General features: G+C 36.5%; 1 protein-coding gene across 3 annotated transcripts in view, besides 1 other annotated feature; it reads left to right on the top strand.

Moving 5' to 3' along the window:
• TBX20 (T-box transcription factor 20) overlaps window positions 1–17,347 on the top strand; it is a 51,671-nt gene that overhangs the window by 9,428 nt on the left and 24,896 nt on the right. For 2 of the 3 annotated variants that reach the window (NM_001077653.2, XM_017012456.2), the window contains 2 exons: window positions 3,636–3,794; window positions 13,093–13,169. In NM_001077653.2, the coding sequence (NP_001071121.1) occupies window positions 3,636–3,794; window positions 13,093–13,169 (236 nt within the window). Of the gene's footprint in view, window positions 1–3,635; window positions 3,795–13,092; window positions 13,174–17,347 lie in introns of those variants that run through there. The other variant, NM_001166220.1, reaches the window with a different exon arrangement.
• Window positions 14,905–15,771: an enhancer, noted in NCBI's record as "VISTA enhancer hs466". NCBI's record gives its function as "enhancer in: facial mesenchyme[3/4]" and the evidence as "EXISTENCE:transgenic organism evidence [ECO:0001131][PMID:17130149]".

The following is a 17,347-nucleotide window of genomic DNA, read 5'->3' as shown; positions in this document are numbered from 1 at the left end:
GAGCCAACTAAACTAAGGGAATATACATTTTTGGAGGCTGCTACAGCCTGTTGTTGGGTTAAGCATCTAATTTCTGTCAGCAGCATAGCAGATAATAAAACTTAGAGAGAATAGGGCTAGGACCTCTGATGGGGGTTTCCCAAAGTGTAGTCTATAGAACATATGTATGTGAGATGAAATAACAAAAGGATTTTATGTCCAAATCAGTTTGGGAAAGTGCTGTTTACTCATTATGTAACCATTTTTTTTTGGAGAGTTTCATGAATATTAAAGCATAAAGAAGCCCTGTAATTAAAAACAAAACAATTTGATTTTGTGTCAGTATAAAGTTTATGAAAATGTGGAAAAAAGAAAAATTAACTCTGTGTTCTTATCAGTAGTTTAATAGAACAAATAGTCAATGATGCAGGTCCTTACATATTTGATAAAATGCCTTTTTAAGGCATTGCTGGGATGTTACTTCATGCTGTTAAATAAAGATACACATAAAAATTCTGTCTTAGATTTTATGCTAAGAAAACTTTAGATGGACTTCCATAATTTTTTTCTTCTTTTAATAATTTTTAATTGATACATAATAATTGTACATATTTATGGGGTACATGTGATATTTGGATACATATATACAATGTGTAAGGATCAAATCTATGCAATTTAGAGGAAGTGTTTGAAGACCTTTCTCAACAAAGATGGTCATAAGGAGATAATAAGAAAGTTCTAGGTTTGGTTTCATATGGTTGGATTAAACCTGGAACTAAATAAATCACTTTAGGCGCTAGCACTATCCCTCTGCCCACAGGAGACTGTGTTTATTACAACCAAGTCAGGGTACCCACTTAACTCACGACTCTACTGGTGGTGCTGTTGGGATATTGGAAGTAACTTAATATGCTTCTGTTTTTTTGTGTATTGAAAAAGAAAGATAGTTGATCTTTATCTTTAAGGTTATTGGCATAATTTTCTTTTGTTTTTTTTAACATGCTTCCACTGATAAATTTTTTTTCAGTTTAGAATTTATGAAGTATGGAGTGATTTTTTTGTAGGTCAGTGATCATTCTTAATGTCATTTATATTAAAATTTCTTGAACTTTAATGGAAATTTTTGCAGGGAAAGATGGAATTCTTTTATGATTCTAGAATTTTCTATAAGTGAAGCTTTTAGAGGAATTATTTGAGTCTTTCCAAAAAGACTTCAGAGTCATTTTGAGATCCATTGTCCATAATTGAAATGCTTTCCTTTTAGCATCAGCTTCGTTGGGTAGTAATAGCTCTAAACCAGATTTCAGAAGCTCTAGGGTCTAGCCTGATTATACCAAGATTATACCTTAAAAAACTGGTTAGTCTTAGATGGTTTCTTATATGCATTTTAGCTTTAAAACTTTTATACTGGCCAGGCACGGTGGCTCACACCTGCAATCCAGCACTTTGAGAGGCTGACCTGGGAAGATTGCTTGATCTGAGGAGTTTGAAACCAGCCAGAGCAACGTAGAGAGACCCCATCTCTATGAAAACAAAACAAAACAAAAAATTAGCTGGATGTGGTGGCATGCACTTGTAGTCCCAGCCACTTGGGTGGCTGAGGTGGGAGGATCACTTGAGCCTGGGAGGTCGAGGCTGCAGTGAGTTGTGGTTGTGCCACTGCAATTCAGCCTGGGTGACAGAGCAAGACCCTGTCTCAAAAAAAAATTATATTTAATATAACCCTTTGTCACCAGAATTAGTGTGTTCTGAAACCTATTAATACAAGGAAAGATTTTTAGATCTTGTGTTGTTAAGCTAGCTTCTTTGAATAGGTTCTGAAGAAGCCTCTCTTATAGATGCAGTTTTAGTTTCAGAAAAGGAAACTTTCATATTCTCAAGAATTATTTCTTGAGTGAAGCAGAGTCCACGTTTCTATTAGTGTTCCTTAGTCTTCAAGTCACAGGAGGGCTTGAGCAGAGATTCAGGGAGCTCTGGGGTCTTAGAGGCTCAGTCTGGGGTCTGAGTCTGTCCAGTAACCTTTCCCAAAGGAAATTAACCTTCAGGTGGTAGAAGTGGGGAAAGAAGCAGCTTATTTAAAGCTTAGGGCTTGTTCCATTTTGGTATGTGTACGTATGGGTGGGTGGGTGTGATTTGAAAATTCTTCCTATCTTCCCAGTAGAATATATGATGAATGTTAATTTTTTTTTCTTATATTAGTGATAGGAGGAAAATGTTTGGTTTTGCTGCTTCAACTTTATTCAAGTATTTGGCTGAGGATCAATCGCTTGAAATCCTTTGAATAAATGTATTATGCAAACAGATCATATTATCATTCAAAAACATTATTTTGATTCATTTAAAGATCTCCTTTGTTTCAGTTATTCCTGTTCCAGTTTGAGATCATAAAAAGGCAGCATGTTCAAAATTCAATCGCAGTTAAAACCCCGTAACTTTAGGCTGGCTTACATCTCAGCACAGAGAGCGAGCGATTATATATCAGTTATCCCACAGTGACTAGTATTCAACTCTGCTAAAGTCAATCGGCAGAAACACTCATGCCCCTTGCCCAGGTTAGCCAAGAAAGCTGGGGAGCCATCAGTTGCATGACTAGCAGCAGCAACCAGCAGAGAGTGCCATTGCTCCTGCCAGGCTGTTTATAGTCAGATGTCTCCTGAGAGTCCCGCTTTCTGCTAGCTCCTTGGAGAGGAGGGCATGCAATGTGAGCCCTCTCATCCCCGGAAAGACATACCCCCAAATTTTGCAGACTTAGATAGCTGTCTGGGTGACAGGAGGGAAGATGTGGGAAACCTTTTATATCTGAAATTGAATTTTATTGCCCTGATTCATAATGGCTAGCTTTTATATTTTATTTAAAAGATATATGAAAAATACTACCTATTGGCTGCCTTGTTAACAAGGGTGTGTTTATGATTTCTGAGTACTTGGCAACTTTTACTAGCTGCAGAATGGAAGATGGCTATCATGATTCAAGTTTGGTTTAATAACTAGAAGTTAGAAATCAAGGAAGCTGTCATAAATACTCCTTCTATTACTAATAATAATACAGTTCACATTTACTGAGCACTTCCTGTTTCCTCTGTGCCAGCCCTACAAGGTTAGTACTGTTTCTGCATATGAGAAAACTAGGAATTGGGGAGATGAGATCACCTGGCTAAGGATTAAAGGACTAGAAACTGACAGATTCAAAATTTTTACCCAAGTCTGTCTAACACCCCACTGCTTTTCTAAACTCTTTTATTTTTTTCTCCATAAATAATAATCTGGCCTCTTAGAATATGTGATTTCTTATTTTAGAAAATTTAGACATGCGTCCTTTGGTCTAACTAGACTAGCAAACCAAAAGTATTTAAAAGACGTGATTTTTAAAAATAGGTAAAACTTATCCTTCAGATGACCTCTCCCCTTACCATTTTAGAAAGGACACTTGAAACAACCTGTGTGGTTTGCAGTTGTTTTGGTAAAATGTGATTCACAACAATGACTCTGCAGTATCTTGTGAAAATGATTTGCCTTAAGGCTGGAAAGGGTAGATCCATATCTTAAAATTGACTTTGAAATTGTAGACCATTTGGTTCTTTCTTGCCTCACTGTAATTTGGCCTGTTTAGCAGTATAAGTATGTAAAATTCAGTACTTCCCATCTTTTTGTTGTAGATAATTTTGAACTCAATGCATAAGTACCAGCCAAGGGTGCACATCATTAAGAAGAAAGACCACACAGCCTCATTGCTCAACCTGAAGTCTGAAGAATTTAGAACTTTCATCTTTCCAGAAACAGTTTTTACGGCAGTCACTGCCTACCAGAATCAACTGGTGAGTGTACAGTTCACAATTTAGTTCCTGCATAAGAGAAGGATTTAGGAGGTTCTTATATTTTCTTGGAGAGAAGAGATATCCCAGTACTCAAAATGGATGTTCACTTTGCAGAGAGCTATTGAGTTTCAGGGCTAGGAACTCTAAGAGTGTGTTGAGTGACTGTGTATTACACTATAGTTTCTAGAATCTCTACATTATGGGTCAGGTTTTTAACTGCCCACTTCCCCACCCACACCTACCCCAATCTGCCTTCTCACATTTTCTTCTCCAGAAAGTTACTTGCCTCCTTTTCCTCCTCCTGGTAACATGTATAACCATGTTCTTGTTGCTTCATAAAATTTAAAAGTTCAGTTTCTCTGCTCAATTAAACACACCTATTCTATCCAACTGCCCAAACTGCTGATACTTTAGATATTTTGTAAGGTTTATTCAGCTATAATTTAGGGTGAGATAATTCTGGTAAAATGATTTTAAATGTCTTTTTAGATAGTAAACCATAGTATGTAACATCAAGATATCTAATTTATATTATTGAGTTATATGCAGGGTGAGTATCCCTAATCCAAAAACCCAAAATCTGAATGCTCCAAAATCTGAAACGTTTTTGAACATTGACATGACACTCAAAGGAAATGCTCACTGGAGCATTTCAGATTTTAGATTTGTGGATTAAGGATGCTTAACCTGTAAGCATAATGCAAAATTCCCAAATCTGAGAAAATCCGAGATCCAAAATACTTTTGGTTCCAAGCATTTCAGATAAGGGATACTCAACCTATGCTTTTTACTCTCTGTTGTACATCACATTTAAAATTAATGCATTTTTGGCCAGGTGCGGTGGCACATGCCTGTAATCCCAGCACTTCGGGAGGCCAGGGTGGGTGGATCACCTGAGGTCAGGAGTTCGAGACCAGCCTGGCCAACATGGTGAAACCGTCTCTACTAAAAATACAAAAATTAGCTGGGCCTGGTGGCAGGTGCCTGTAGTCCCAGCTACTCGGGAGGCTGAGGCAGGAGAATCGCTTGAACCTGGGAGGCGGGGGTTGCAGTGAGCAGAGATCTCACCACTGCACTCCAGCCTGGGTGACAAAGCGAGACCCCACCTCAAAAAAATAATAAAATTAAAAAAAAAAACTTAAATTAATGCATTTCTTCATCCATAGGGCTTATTCCAACTTAGTAAATATTTATCAAGGCCATACTAAGGGCCATGTACTGATAGACACTTCCCATACATTTTCTTCTTTTGTGCCCAGCGTAAGCTTAAGGGGCTGTGGCAGTACTACACTCCACAGGTGAGGAAGCTGAAGCTAAGAGAGGGTGAGTAACTTCTCTCCATCAGAACGGACCAGAAATAGAATTCCTTTTCATACACTTCAATATAAAAGGAAGTCACATGCTCAGTTTACTTGACACATTCAGTTGTTTATGACCTCTCTGTGTCTTTGTATCTTGTGTTTGTTTCATTGGTCATAGGTAGCCAAGACTATTGCTCTCCTCTTGTCTTGATGTTGTTAGGTTTTGGGTTCTGAGTGAGTAGCTATTAGATGCTGCCTGGTAGATGGCTCAGAGTCCCGGGGAGGATGGTCACCTGAAAGCGAGGTGGTGTGGAGACCCTCGGGAAAGGCAAGATGAAGCTGACATCACAGCCAGCCTCACACAAATGAGGTAGTAGAAGCCTGGAAAAGGGATGTGGGCAGATGGCCAGAGTGGATGTATGTAAGGCTTACTCTCCTAGGATTTCTATACAACTTTGAGTAGATTTCATTTCACCAGTGGCTGCTGTTTTCCTTACCTAGATATTAGGGCCAAGAACTGACCAGACCATTTTAGGGGATTGCTGTGAAGATCAAATGTAGTTGTGTGTGTAGGCTTGTTTAAGCCTTTGGAAGCTGTAAGGTGCTCTGTAAATAAGACATGTGGTTATGATGGGGCTGTCTCAGAAATGTCAAAAAAAGAATTTGTCACCATTTGTATTTTAAAATTTTAGTGGTGTATTAATGAGATAGAGAAATTAATGCGTAATTGTTATCATGCCGATCATCTTACAGTAAAGGCAAGTACTGTAACCTTTGAATTATCTCCAAGATCATAACACAGGAGTGGAAACATTCAGAGAATGCCCAAACTAAAAGTTGGGGTTTAGATGGAAGCCTACAAAGGCCTAAAGCACTAATGCTGTTTCTCTGCGAATCTGGAACACTGAAACCAGCAATCCTGTTTTTAATTTATTTGAGGGCACGTGGAATGCAAATATCATAGGCTCCAAAAAGATTCCGAAAACATTCCATTCATTTATACTAATTGATTTCATAGCTTTTATAATGTACACCATGCTAATATATTATAACAATTTAAATTTATGCTCACTTAAGAAACCTTATTGATGTTTGGGAATGGCATAGACACTTCTCATGTGGAAACCTCATTGCTTTTATCATAATTCTTTTTAAAGAGGGCCAAAGCAGGAGGAGGTAAATTGTTTTCCTCTTTATTTTTTTTAGTGAAAATTATAGAGATGAACAAAAATTAAAGTTTCTAGTAAACTTTAAAGTATAATGCCTGAGATTTGGTTTAATAGGTGAGAGACCAAGACTGCGTAAGTGTTGGCGGGACCTCTCATATCATAGGAGGGTCTTATTTACATAATACAAATAACAACTAACATTTGGGTACTTACTATGTGCAAGACACCACTTGAATTCATAATCATACTTGATCTTCTCAATGATATCATGAGATAGGAACAATCGTATTTTTATTCAGCATCGTACAGTTGGGGTAATTGAGGCACTAGTTAAATAAGTCATCTGAAGTGACCTTGCTCCTCCCATTGCAGATTTGAATTCAGGTGGTTAAGATTCAAGAGGGAGTGCCCTTAACCCCTAAGCTGTGAGTGCCTGCTGTTCCCAAAGAAGCAGAACTTCACCCTCTCTCAGCTCTTGGCCCTGATAGACTCTGAGACATTGATTTTAGAGAGCATCAGCTCTTTATGCTCATTTTTTTTTTAAACAAATGTGCTGCTCACACCACACATCAGCAAGTGTAACACGATGATGATCATCCTTAACAGGAGGTCAGAATATCTGCTAGTACTCGCTGTATCCAACTGGAACCACATCTTTAATGACATTTTCTAATTTAATTCTTGTTTTTCTACTTGATTTTTTATTTAGAACAAATTTCAGATATACAAAAAACGAAACAAATAGTAAAATGAACCTCACATGCCTTCCACCCAGATTCAGCAATGCCAAATTTGCTTTCCCCCAAATTTTCTCTTTCCTCCCTCTTCCTCTCTCTATATGCAAACGTACTTCCCCTCTTCCTTCCCAGTTTCTTCCCTCCCCTTTTGAAACTAAGTTGCATGCCTCCTGACACTTCTAAACACTCTTTAAGCATATTCTGACAATGAGAACACTATTTTTGTAATCCCAACATCTTTATCACAGCTAAGAAAATTTATAAGAATTTGTTCTTTATATCACCTAGTATTCAGTTTATATTAAAATTTTCAGGATAGACCAACTGCCCCTAAACCCCCTCTGAACTAGGATCCAGCTAAAATTCATGGTTTGGATTTATTACTTTTAATTTAGAAAAATCTTTCCACATTTTTTTCTAAACACCTCATTTAATTCTGACACTGTATGCCTTGAAGAAGGCCCCACGAGTCCCATTTTGTAGAATTAGAAACTGAGGTCAGAATGGTTAAGACATTCACCCAAGGTCACAAATCTGGTAAGTGACAGAACCAGTACGAGGTTTTTGATCTTCTGGGTTTTAATTCCTCCTTTTTGGTGGCATCATGATAGATTGCAAGGCCAAGGAAGTGACCACTGACAGTGTCATCAAAAACTGACTTTGAAAATATGGGTAATGAAAATAGCTGAAGATACTAATATGCACATTTCAACACAAGTTGCTCCTTTGGCAAGGTTTATTTCTAATTAATATCATAAATGGGATCAAAATCTAGCCATCAGTGCCCAGCTATTCTTTCTTGCATTAAGTATAGTATTAATATGATTAGTATGTCATTTCATTGCTGAGTAACCACAATGGAAGTGACTAAATTCAGAATTAATTTTCTCATAGATTCTACTATGTCTGAGTTTATTTTTCGATATCCACCTTTAAAACCATAGCCGCTTGCACAAAGCCATATGCCTTTAAAATAGAAATCCAGTTAATAGTCAACAATTTGATTTTATATCCTGACAGGGCAGTTTCGCAAATGGTTTATGAACCTCATAAGACCAATCAAAATTCCTCTTGTAGGTGCTCAGTAAACATATGTGCAGTGAATAAATGAACTTGTGGGTTAGCATTTTCATTAGTCCTATGTCATTTTCTAAAGTTATCCTTGACTCTTTCTAGGCCTTCTACCATCTACTGTGACTTCACTTCTCTACCAAGTTTGTGTAGTAAGTTTCCTATAGCATACAATAATATATCCTGCAGCATATAATAGCCTATAACATATAATAAATATATAGGAAATAAAGTAAATATATACTAGGTATAGTATTAGAATTTTTTCACATACAAAGAACAAAGAGGGAGAAGAAAAGAGAGGAAGATTTAAAAATTCACATTTAGGACCACTTTCATATATCTTAAGCTTTGGATATGACTGCTATTTTTATGTGTATTGAAATCCAAGTCAGAGTTTCCAAAACAATTTGTGAAAAAATTCCTCATTTATTGTGCCTTGTAGTTTCATTTGTAAGTAATGAAAGTAGGACCTTTTATTTGCTATTTCTTTCTCTGGTTTTTGTGAGGGAATGATTGCATTTCTTTACATTATTGGATAAAAGCTAAATACATTACACTTTCAACAAACTATTTTATAATTTAAGATTGAAAGGTCATGCATTGTTTTTGAGCAGGCAGACCATTGCTGTAGAGTTGAAGTGTAGGTCAAGTTTCATTTTTAAATGCCTTTGGTCAGATATTTTCCTGATAATTGGAGAAATGGTCTCTGAGGGCCAATTTTACCTTGTGGCTGGGAACCCTAGCTGGATTCAGAGTCCAGTGATATTATACAGAATAACCACTGCAAAAGGTCCCCTTCTCTTTTGCACAGCAGGTAGTGTCAAAATCTGCTCTCCACACATTTACTTAAAGATAATAGAGATGCCAAAAGAGTGAACATTTTGGTTAGGAATTGCATTATGTTCTATATTATTTAAATACACGAAAAAGCAGGGTTGTGTTTTGGACTGAATTAGTAACTTGGATATATGTAGACCCACACTAAACAGTAGCATTTCTTAAGCACATACTACTAACCTTGCTTGTTAGTGTTTTCTCTTGATGAAGTGAGAAACATTGCTGCTTTTAAGAAGTTGTGAGTTATAAAGAAGCCATATCTCTGGTTTCTGTACATACAATGTTTGGTAGCTGATTTATTTTTGATACTTCTTTTAGGATTACTTTTGATAAACGTGATTTGTTCAACAACATTACAAGCTGCAGGCATCCTCTATTCGGACATGAATGAAATGGTGTCCACCTGAAATCACTGTCTGTAACTCAGCTTCTTTTTCTCATTAGTTCTCAGTGTTGTTTTTTTTTTTTTCAGTTATCCCAAATTTCATAAAGAGATGTAAAACTACACCTTAAAAATGAATTTCTATATAGCTACTGGTCTTTATTTAAATATTGTGGCATAAACTCTATGTCTGACCTTTTAAAACGTATGATTACCTAGAATGTTAAAATTTTGCTATTTAAAAATTATTTTATCTTAAAATTTAAAAAGTGAAATGCTTTTCCTGTAAATTCATGGTTTCACTTAGTTCATAATTGGTGAAAAGGTGAGATCATATTTCTCACTGTGCTTGTTCTTGAGGTAAAGCTCAACAAATACTTGTGGGGTTCTTATTGTGGACACCCTAGTAGATTCAGAGTCTAGTGACAGTGGGCTACAAGGAACATGGTGGGCTCACAAAGAAGTTTAATCCACAATCTCTGTGCTGCTAATTATTAATACCCCATAAAAGCTGTTCAGGAATGTGTAGCATCAACCCAGAGCTCCCATACAATTTTAGTGATAATAGATCCATTCAGTTTTTTCCTGTTCTCACGTGCAAAAGCAATTATTTTCCCTAGAATTAGATTAAATAGAAATAGAGAATGTAATTGTTTTGAATTCTTTTTCTAATTAGTGCACTAAAACTAAATCATTGCTGTGGCTAATTGGTAAATCTGGGTGTATAAGAGCACCTGTACTATTCTTGCAACTTTCCTGAAGTTTGAAATTATATCAAAATGTAAAGAAATTTCCACTGATACTCCTAGGATTTATGAAAGTTGGATTAAAATGATATTAGCAGTAGATAATTCTCATAATGAGAGAAAATTCGAAGACATTTGAAAACTCATGTTGAATTTAAGTTACTCCTTTGCTCAAAGTATGGCAGTATTATTAGATATGGTGACACGTCAATTGAGCAACATGTGTTTTGAGAGTATGTATTTTCTGTGGTATTAGAGCACTGGAGAATTTAAGATAACTTCTCAATCATATTATGAGCCAATAGTCTTTATCTTTTGAAAAAAGAACAAGAAATGTGATTTTCAAAATTCTTTTCAGAGATAAAATATGTCAAAAGTCCATCTTTAATCATTAGAACAGATAGGTAATACCTTCTATCCTTTTCATTTGTAAAGACTCAGAAAAAGCTTGATATGATTCATATCTTAGAGAGATGGCTGTAAAAAGTTCTTTCAAAATGAATTTTTTATCAGATATATTATCTGTTGTCTGTAGAAAATTTTATCCATTGGCAAGCCTGTTTACTTTTCAATTTTATAAATGTGCTATTTAAAGGCAGCCTTACCTTTATTGCTCCACCTCACAGTTTCAGTTTGAAATTTTCATGTGGGTTTGATTTACCCTTAATGTCTCTAACTGTTTGTTGGAGGTGGTGCCACCTTCTTTAGCATCATTTAGAGCCAGTTCCAGCTCTGATTAGCTGTGCATGTCATCCGACATCTAGCGCAGTGCATGTGCATGGTGATTTATCCTCATTATTTGCTGATGAATTATTGTGAAAGCATATTAATGAACTATAAAGTACTGCAGAAGTAGAACGCATTTTAAGTATAGTTGTTCATTACAAAGAGACATAGCTCATGTCCTGGAGGATTTAAAAATCTTGTTGATATTTGTAATCGTAGACTGTATCAATTGCCTGGGCTTTAGAGGATGTTTATAATTTATTTCAAACAAAAAAATATTTTCCCCTTCCCTCCCAAAACTGACTTTCAAAAACAAGTCCTAGTCGGAATAAGTGGATGAAACAAGGCTTCATTCTTCAGAGAGTGGTAGCTGTGTGTGAGAAGGTTCTCTATAAACTCTTTCCTGTATCTCTCTTCATATATATGTCTTAGCTGTTGCTGTCCATGAGAACAGGTTTCTGATTTATGTAGTTTATTTGCTTCCCTGTTTACCAATGCTCATAGCATAGCTATTTTCTTCTAACTGCTCAGCAGTGAATGTTCATGGGCTAAAAATGAGCATTTCTGAGGCACTGTCAAATGTTTTTTAAAATTAGTATTATCAAAGAGTTAATCTTATAATTTGCCAGTGTTATTGATAGAGGAGTCTTTCTGGCTGGGTTAGTATGTGAGGTTTCATTTTAAGTGAGGCATAAATAGCTTCTTTGCAGCTTGTGCCTTGGTTCTGAAAGTGTTCAGAAACCATGAAAAAGAAAAAACCACATTTCTTTTGAAATGAAAAAAGAAATTCCTCACGTGTTAACAGTTTAAAGTGTTCTATAGATATACTTTGACTGGGGAGAAAGTTGCTTTTTGGCAAGAGTATTTCTTCTTTTCTTTTGAGACAGAGTCTTTCTCTCGCTCTTGTCGCCCAGGCTGGAGTGCAGTGGCGCGATCTCGGCTCACTGCAACCTCTGCCTCCCGGGTTCAGGTGATTCTCGTGTCAGCCTCCTGAGTAGGTGGGATTACAGGCTCATGCCACTATGCCTGGCTAATTTTTTATTTTTAGTAGAGACAGGGTTTCACCATGTTGGTCAGGCTGGTTTCGAACTCCTGACCTTATGATCTGCCCACCTCGGTCTCCCAAAGCGCTGGGATTACAGGCGTGAGCCACAGGCACCCGGCCTGGCAAGAGTATTTCAAACTATCTGTTTTGATTGTGTATTCCTTACTTTGAAAGAAGAAGACATACCTGTAACTTTTTTCCCCTGTTAAGAATCTTTAGCATGCATTTCTCTCTAGAGATGAACATGGGTTCTAATTTTGATACTGAGAAGCTATGATTCCATAAAGGTTTTCTTGGTTCTAATTAAGTTACTGACCAGCTGAATCTTGGCCCTTGTGCTCTTTGAGTCTGTGTGTGATTATCTGTCGGATAAGACCATGGGCTAGATGGTCTCTCAGCTTCCTTTCAGCTCTAACAATTCCAGTATTTTCCATGTTGAGTATCTTTTAATCAATGTTTCCTTTATTTTCTTGTTACAACTTAACGTATTCTCCTTCAGAGTCATGGTGCATATAATTTCATGGATCTTTCTACACTAATAGTAGTACTATGGGAATTCTGAATACCACAGCATGGACATTTAATATTTTAGACTGTGATTATTATTAGAATGTGTTTTTCCATAAAAACATAGAGTTTATAAATAACATTTCATGGAGGGATAACAAAAGATGGACTAATTTGATTCTGATTTAGTCAAATGGAAAGGGAAATAGGAGAAAATTTGTATTCAGAAGGCTTTATGTCATGTATTTATGTCATGTATATCAATATCATATTGAACATGAGGCTATTATTGGCCATTTTACCTTTTATCTATTATGGTATGTATATGTACTCACAGTACTAAAAAAGATGTCACCAAGTCAGATGCATTCTTACTTTCATTCTCTACCGATGCTGGAATTCTGCATAATTCTCCCATTTAGGTGGTTCTCCCATTCCTCTGTTCAGCCCTAGCCTTTGACATACTATGTAATATATTAAATACTGCACACCCCAGTTCACATCTACTTTTGCCTCAAAGGCTCCCTTCCCTAATTGTATCTATCTGTCAACCTCCAGCCTGTCCTCAATACCTCCTCTCTGAGGCCTTCCCTTACCATCCCACCTGGCTGGGATTTGTCCCTCTTGTGAACATGTGTAGCATTTTCCACCCTTCTCAGGACACTGAGAAACATTAAGATATTCTTGGTGTGCTATGGAGAATGAACAAACTATTTCTGATTTTACTTCCTTGACCTCATAAATGATACTGTTTTGTACCCATTCTTTCTCCAGATAACGAAGCTGAAAATAGATAGCAATCCTTTTGCCAAAGGATTCCGGGATTCCTCCAGGCTCACTGACATTGAGAGGTAATGAGAATTTTCTGTTTACTTTCTTGTTCAGATAAGATCAAGAGAAGAGGGAGTTTGTAACAACACACTCCTTTCGACACCAGAGAATCATAACCTTACTATATATAGTCTTCTATTCTCTGCACCCCATTCCTTGTACATATGCAACTGCTTAAGTCTGACAGCTACTGTGACTGGATCTATTATATGCTTAATTTCTGAGTGAAATAGTTTCTTTGGTCAGGACATTTATTCTACTATAAAAAATAGGGCTTTGTTGTTATTAAAGACTTAGTCCTCTTGACATTCTTAAGCTTCGTGTCTCAATGAGTGGCAGTCTATAGAGAAACAGAACCGTGATAGCCTTTTACCTTCCCAAGTAGATATATTTGCTAACACAAAGAGTGTAAGGGTAGTTGGGAATTTTGAAACAAGGAGATGTAATTTAATTCAAGGTCACATAATTTTACCAATGTAGTAGACTGCTTATATTTAATAGGAGAGACATCAGGCAGGCCTCAGGACCTCTAAGAAGACAAGTGAAATCATGTGCCTGTAACTTACCCTACTTTTTACTCAATTAAAATGGTTCATGCAGTTTGAGACCATTGAGGTGATGAGTAATGACTATATGGAGATACATATTTTGCCCAGTATGAATGTCAAAAATTGTTTTTCAAAGAGAAGATTTTTAAACCTAATTGATTATTTGTACTTCTTAAACACACTAATTCTTTTATGTGGTCCAATGTCTTAATTGACCAGGGAAGTTCCCTAGCCACCAGAACCACTGATTTTCTTATCTCTACATCTGTGTAATTTCCCTACTAACTGCTGCACATTTCTGCTGCACTCTTTGTTACCTATATAGCCACATCTCCTGACCTCAGCACTTCTGTCTAATCTATCTTGGCAACTCAAATTAAAAGATAATTACATATTTTAACAACCTCTGTCTCAGCCTTCCTAAGCCTTCCCAAATGGCAGAATGTGAGGGGGAGGTTTGATTTAGGGGAACAGACTTAGAGGCTCAGTGGGGAAGCAGAGGAGCAAGCAGGAGAGGCTGAACATTGGCCAGGAACTATGGGATTTGAGCAGAAAAGAAAGATTAAATAGTTGGAGAGCTTGACAAGTTGGTTGGAAGTGTTGAGATCAGGAAAAGAAACTTGAGCTTGTGATTGAAAATCCATTGCAAAGTCCAGAGAGAAGGCAAGTGGTAACTCAAATTAGGTGGGATACAAGTCACTGAGAATGTGGTACCAGCAGTATGGACCACAAAGGAGTCCACTTGCAAAAGGCAACTTCATTTAGGCATGACTTTATTTCCTGTTTCTGAGGGCCAGAAGCCCTGCTGCAGACCGGGTTTATGTAGTTGGGATTGTTATAAGTGAACTTTTTCTCAGTTTTATTCAGGTATTAAGTAAGAATGGAGACAATGATGCAGTGGGGTGATAGTGATCCGTTTTTATAGTGTGTGTCGTATTTTCTGTCTCAGACCATGGGGGTACACGTGATATATTGGGAGAAAAAAAAAGTTAGGGCTTAGAGTCTCACCTCTGCCTTTTCCTGGGTGAGTGATCCTGGAGAAGTCACCAGACTTCTGAGTCTGTACGCTCATCTAGAAAATGGAAAAAATAACCCTGCTCACCTCAGAGGTTTATTCTGAGAATCAAATAAGCTGGCATTTATGACAGCATTTTATAAATCTAAAAATGTAAAATAATTACAAGTTCTTCATCTTGTTATATGAGCATTTCATCTAACAACTTTTATCCCATGTAACTCTATGTTTCATAGTCTTAATAAACTACTCCTAGAGTAAAAATAGCCTTGTAGTTGCACATTGGTTTACAAGATAGGAGGTACTCAGTCTGACTGCTCTTTACAACGGCAGATTTGATAATGCATGTGGCCACATTTTCCACTTATTGGATAAGCATCCTGATGTGGGAGCACTCACATGTACATGAAGCTAAGTAGCTTTCAATGGTCTGAGGGCAAAGACAGCACTCTTACATGACTAGCTGAAAGTTTGCAAGATGACCTAAGTAGTGTGAAATTGGCCGAGGTTTTGGATTTCATTTCCAGATATTTAAGTCTGAATTTTTCATAAACAGCCTTTGGGGATGGGACAAATCAGATCAATTGATCTTTAGAGACCTAAAGAAATTAAATTAGTCTGGAGTCAGTTACTGCACTAAACCATCTAGTAATTGAATTGCTCCTTGTAACTGATTGAAAACAGCCCTATCCTTAACAATATAGGGAGCTTTTCTTTATAAGAGATCTGAGAGAAAAACACATATTTTTATGACATGATGACAGATATTGCACTTTTCTAACCTAATTGAATATGATGTTATAAATATGTGACCTTAATGATTTCAAGTTTCCTGTTTCAGATTTACAGCTTAATGTGTGGGACACCCAAACAAAAATGCCTTTGGGATTGGATCTGTTTGCCTGTACCTCTAAATTCACAGTTTTAATCCTTCTACAGCTACACGAGCTTTTGAGATACTCTTAAAGGTGTTTTAGTTTTCTTGCTCTAATTTTACTAGCTCCCATTGAGGTACTTGAATGTCTCACTTTGTGTGTAGCCTTACTCTTCAGGGACATCGTCTTCCTCATTTCTAAAAGAAAACCCACCTCACTGGCAAAAATAGAAAGTGTTTTCATTACTGCTTTGTAATATACCTACTGTGGTCAACCGAGAAGCAAACCAAAAGCCCAAAGGGATATCTTTGTATAATCTAATGTCTAGTTTCTCAGATTGGGGAAACAATTATTGGCTGGTTCCGTATAATAACAAGCTTTAGACAGTCATTCAGTTGGCATTTTATGTTTCTTTTCTGGGGGCATGCGGTTCACTTTGTCCAGTACACAAAGGCACAGTGTTCCTTCTGAGAAAAGAAAAATAACTGGGAGGAGTTATCTATGTTTTATTCAAAATTAAGTTTCTTTTATTAATTTTTTTTCTTTTTACTAAAAGAGTTTGTGTGCATTGCCAAAAAATCAGAAAATACGGACAAGTAAGAAAAAGCATAAAAAAGCAGTTAAACCCCATTTCCTTAGAGATGACCTCTGGCAAAACCCCATTATATATTCTTTCAGATACTTTCTTATGCACGTATGAACATTTACTTCCTTTAAAGTTTATCTGGTCAACCATATTATTTTTAATTATTTCCCCTTAATATAAATAGATATATGTCTGCAGCACACTTTTTATTGGCTTTCTAATTTTCCATTATGTGCTGTAATTTATTTGACTAATCCTATGCATTAGTTGTTTAGGTTTCTGATTTTTTGCTGTCACAAATAGTGCCAGGAGGAAAATACATATCTTTACACATCTTCTTAATTATTACCATAAGATAAATATCCACAAATTAAAATGCTGAGTCAAAGGATGTTTTTTTTTTTATCATAGTATTATTTTTAATTGTTTAAAAATTTGGAAAAGGAACCCAAATATTCAATAATAGGAGAATGGTTTAATAAAATTCATAATCATGCAATGGAGGTTTTAGAAATTGTGTTAAAATATACATAACATAAAATTGACCATTTTAACCATTTTAAAGTGTACAATTCAGTGACATTAAGTACATTCATGATGTCACATAACCATCACTGCTATCCGTTTCCAGAATGTTTTCATCATCCCAAACAGAAACTCTGTACCCATTAAAATAACTTCCAATTTACTCTCCCTTCGAGACGCTGGTAATCTGTATCCTACTTTCTGCATCTATGAATTTATCTAGTCTGGGTACCTCATGTAAGTGGAAAGATGTATAGTCATGAGTCACTTAACAGAAGGGCTGCATTCTGAGAAATGCATTGTTTGGAGATTTTGTCATTGTGAAAACGTCATAGAGTGTATTTACACAAACCCAGATGGTACAGCCTACTACACACGTAGGCTATTTGGTATGGCCTATTGATCCTAGACTATAAACCGTACTGTGCTGCATGTTACTGTACTGAATACTGTAAGCAATTGTAATGCAAGGGTAGGTATTTATGTACCTAAACATTAAAAAGGCACAGTAAAAAGACAGTGTAAAACAAAAAAAATGGTACACCTGTATAAGGCACTCACCGTGAATGGAGCTTAAGGTCTGGAATTTGCTCTGGGTGAGCGGTCAGTGAATATGAAGGCCTAGGACATTACTGTACACTACTGTAGA

The sequence above is a fragment of the Homo sapiens genome, chromosome 7 (genome assembly GCF_000001405.40).
Source record: "Homo sapiens chromosome 7, GRCh38.p14 Primary Assembly".
Taxonomy (NCBI): domain Eukaryota; kingdom Metazoa; phylum Chordata; class Mammalia; order Primates; family Hominidae; genus Homo; species Homo sapiens.
Note: the sequence above shows the minus strand (reverse complement) of the source record. Positions and strands in the feature narration are given on the sequence as shown.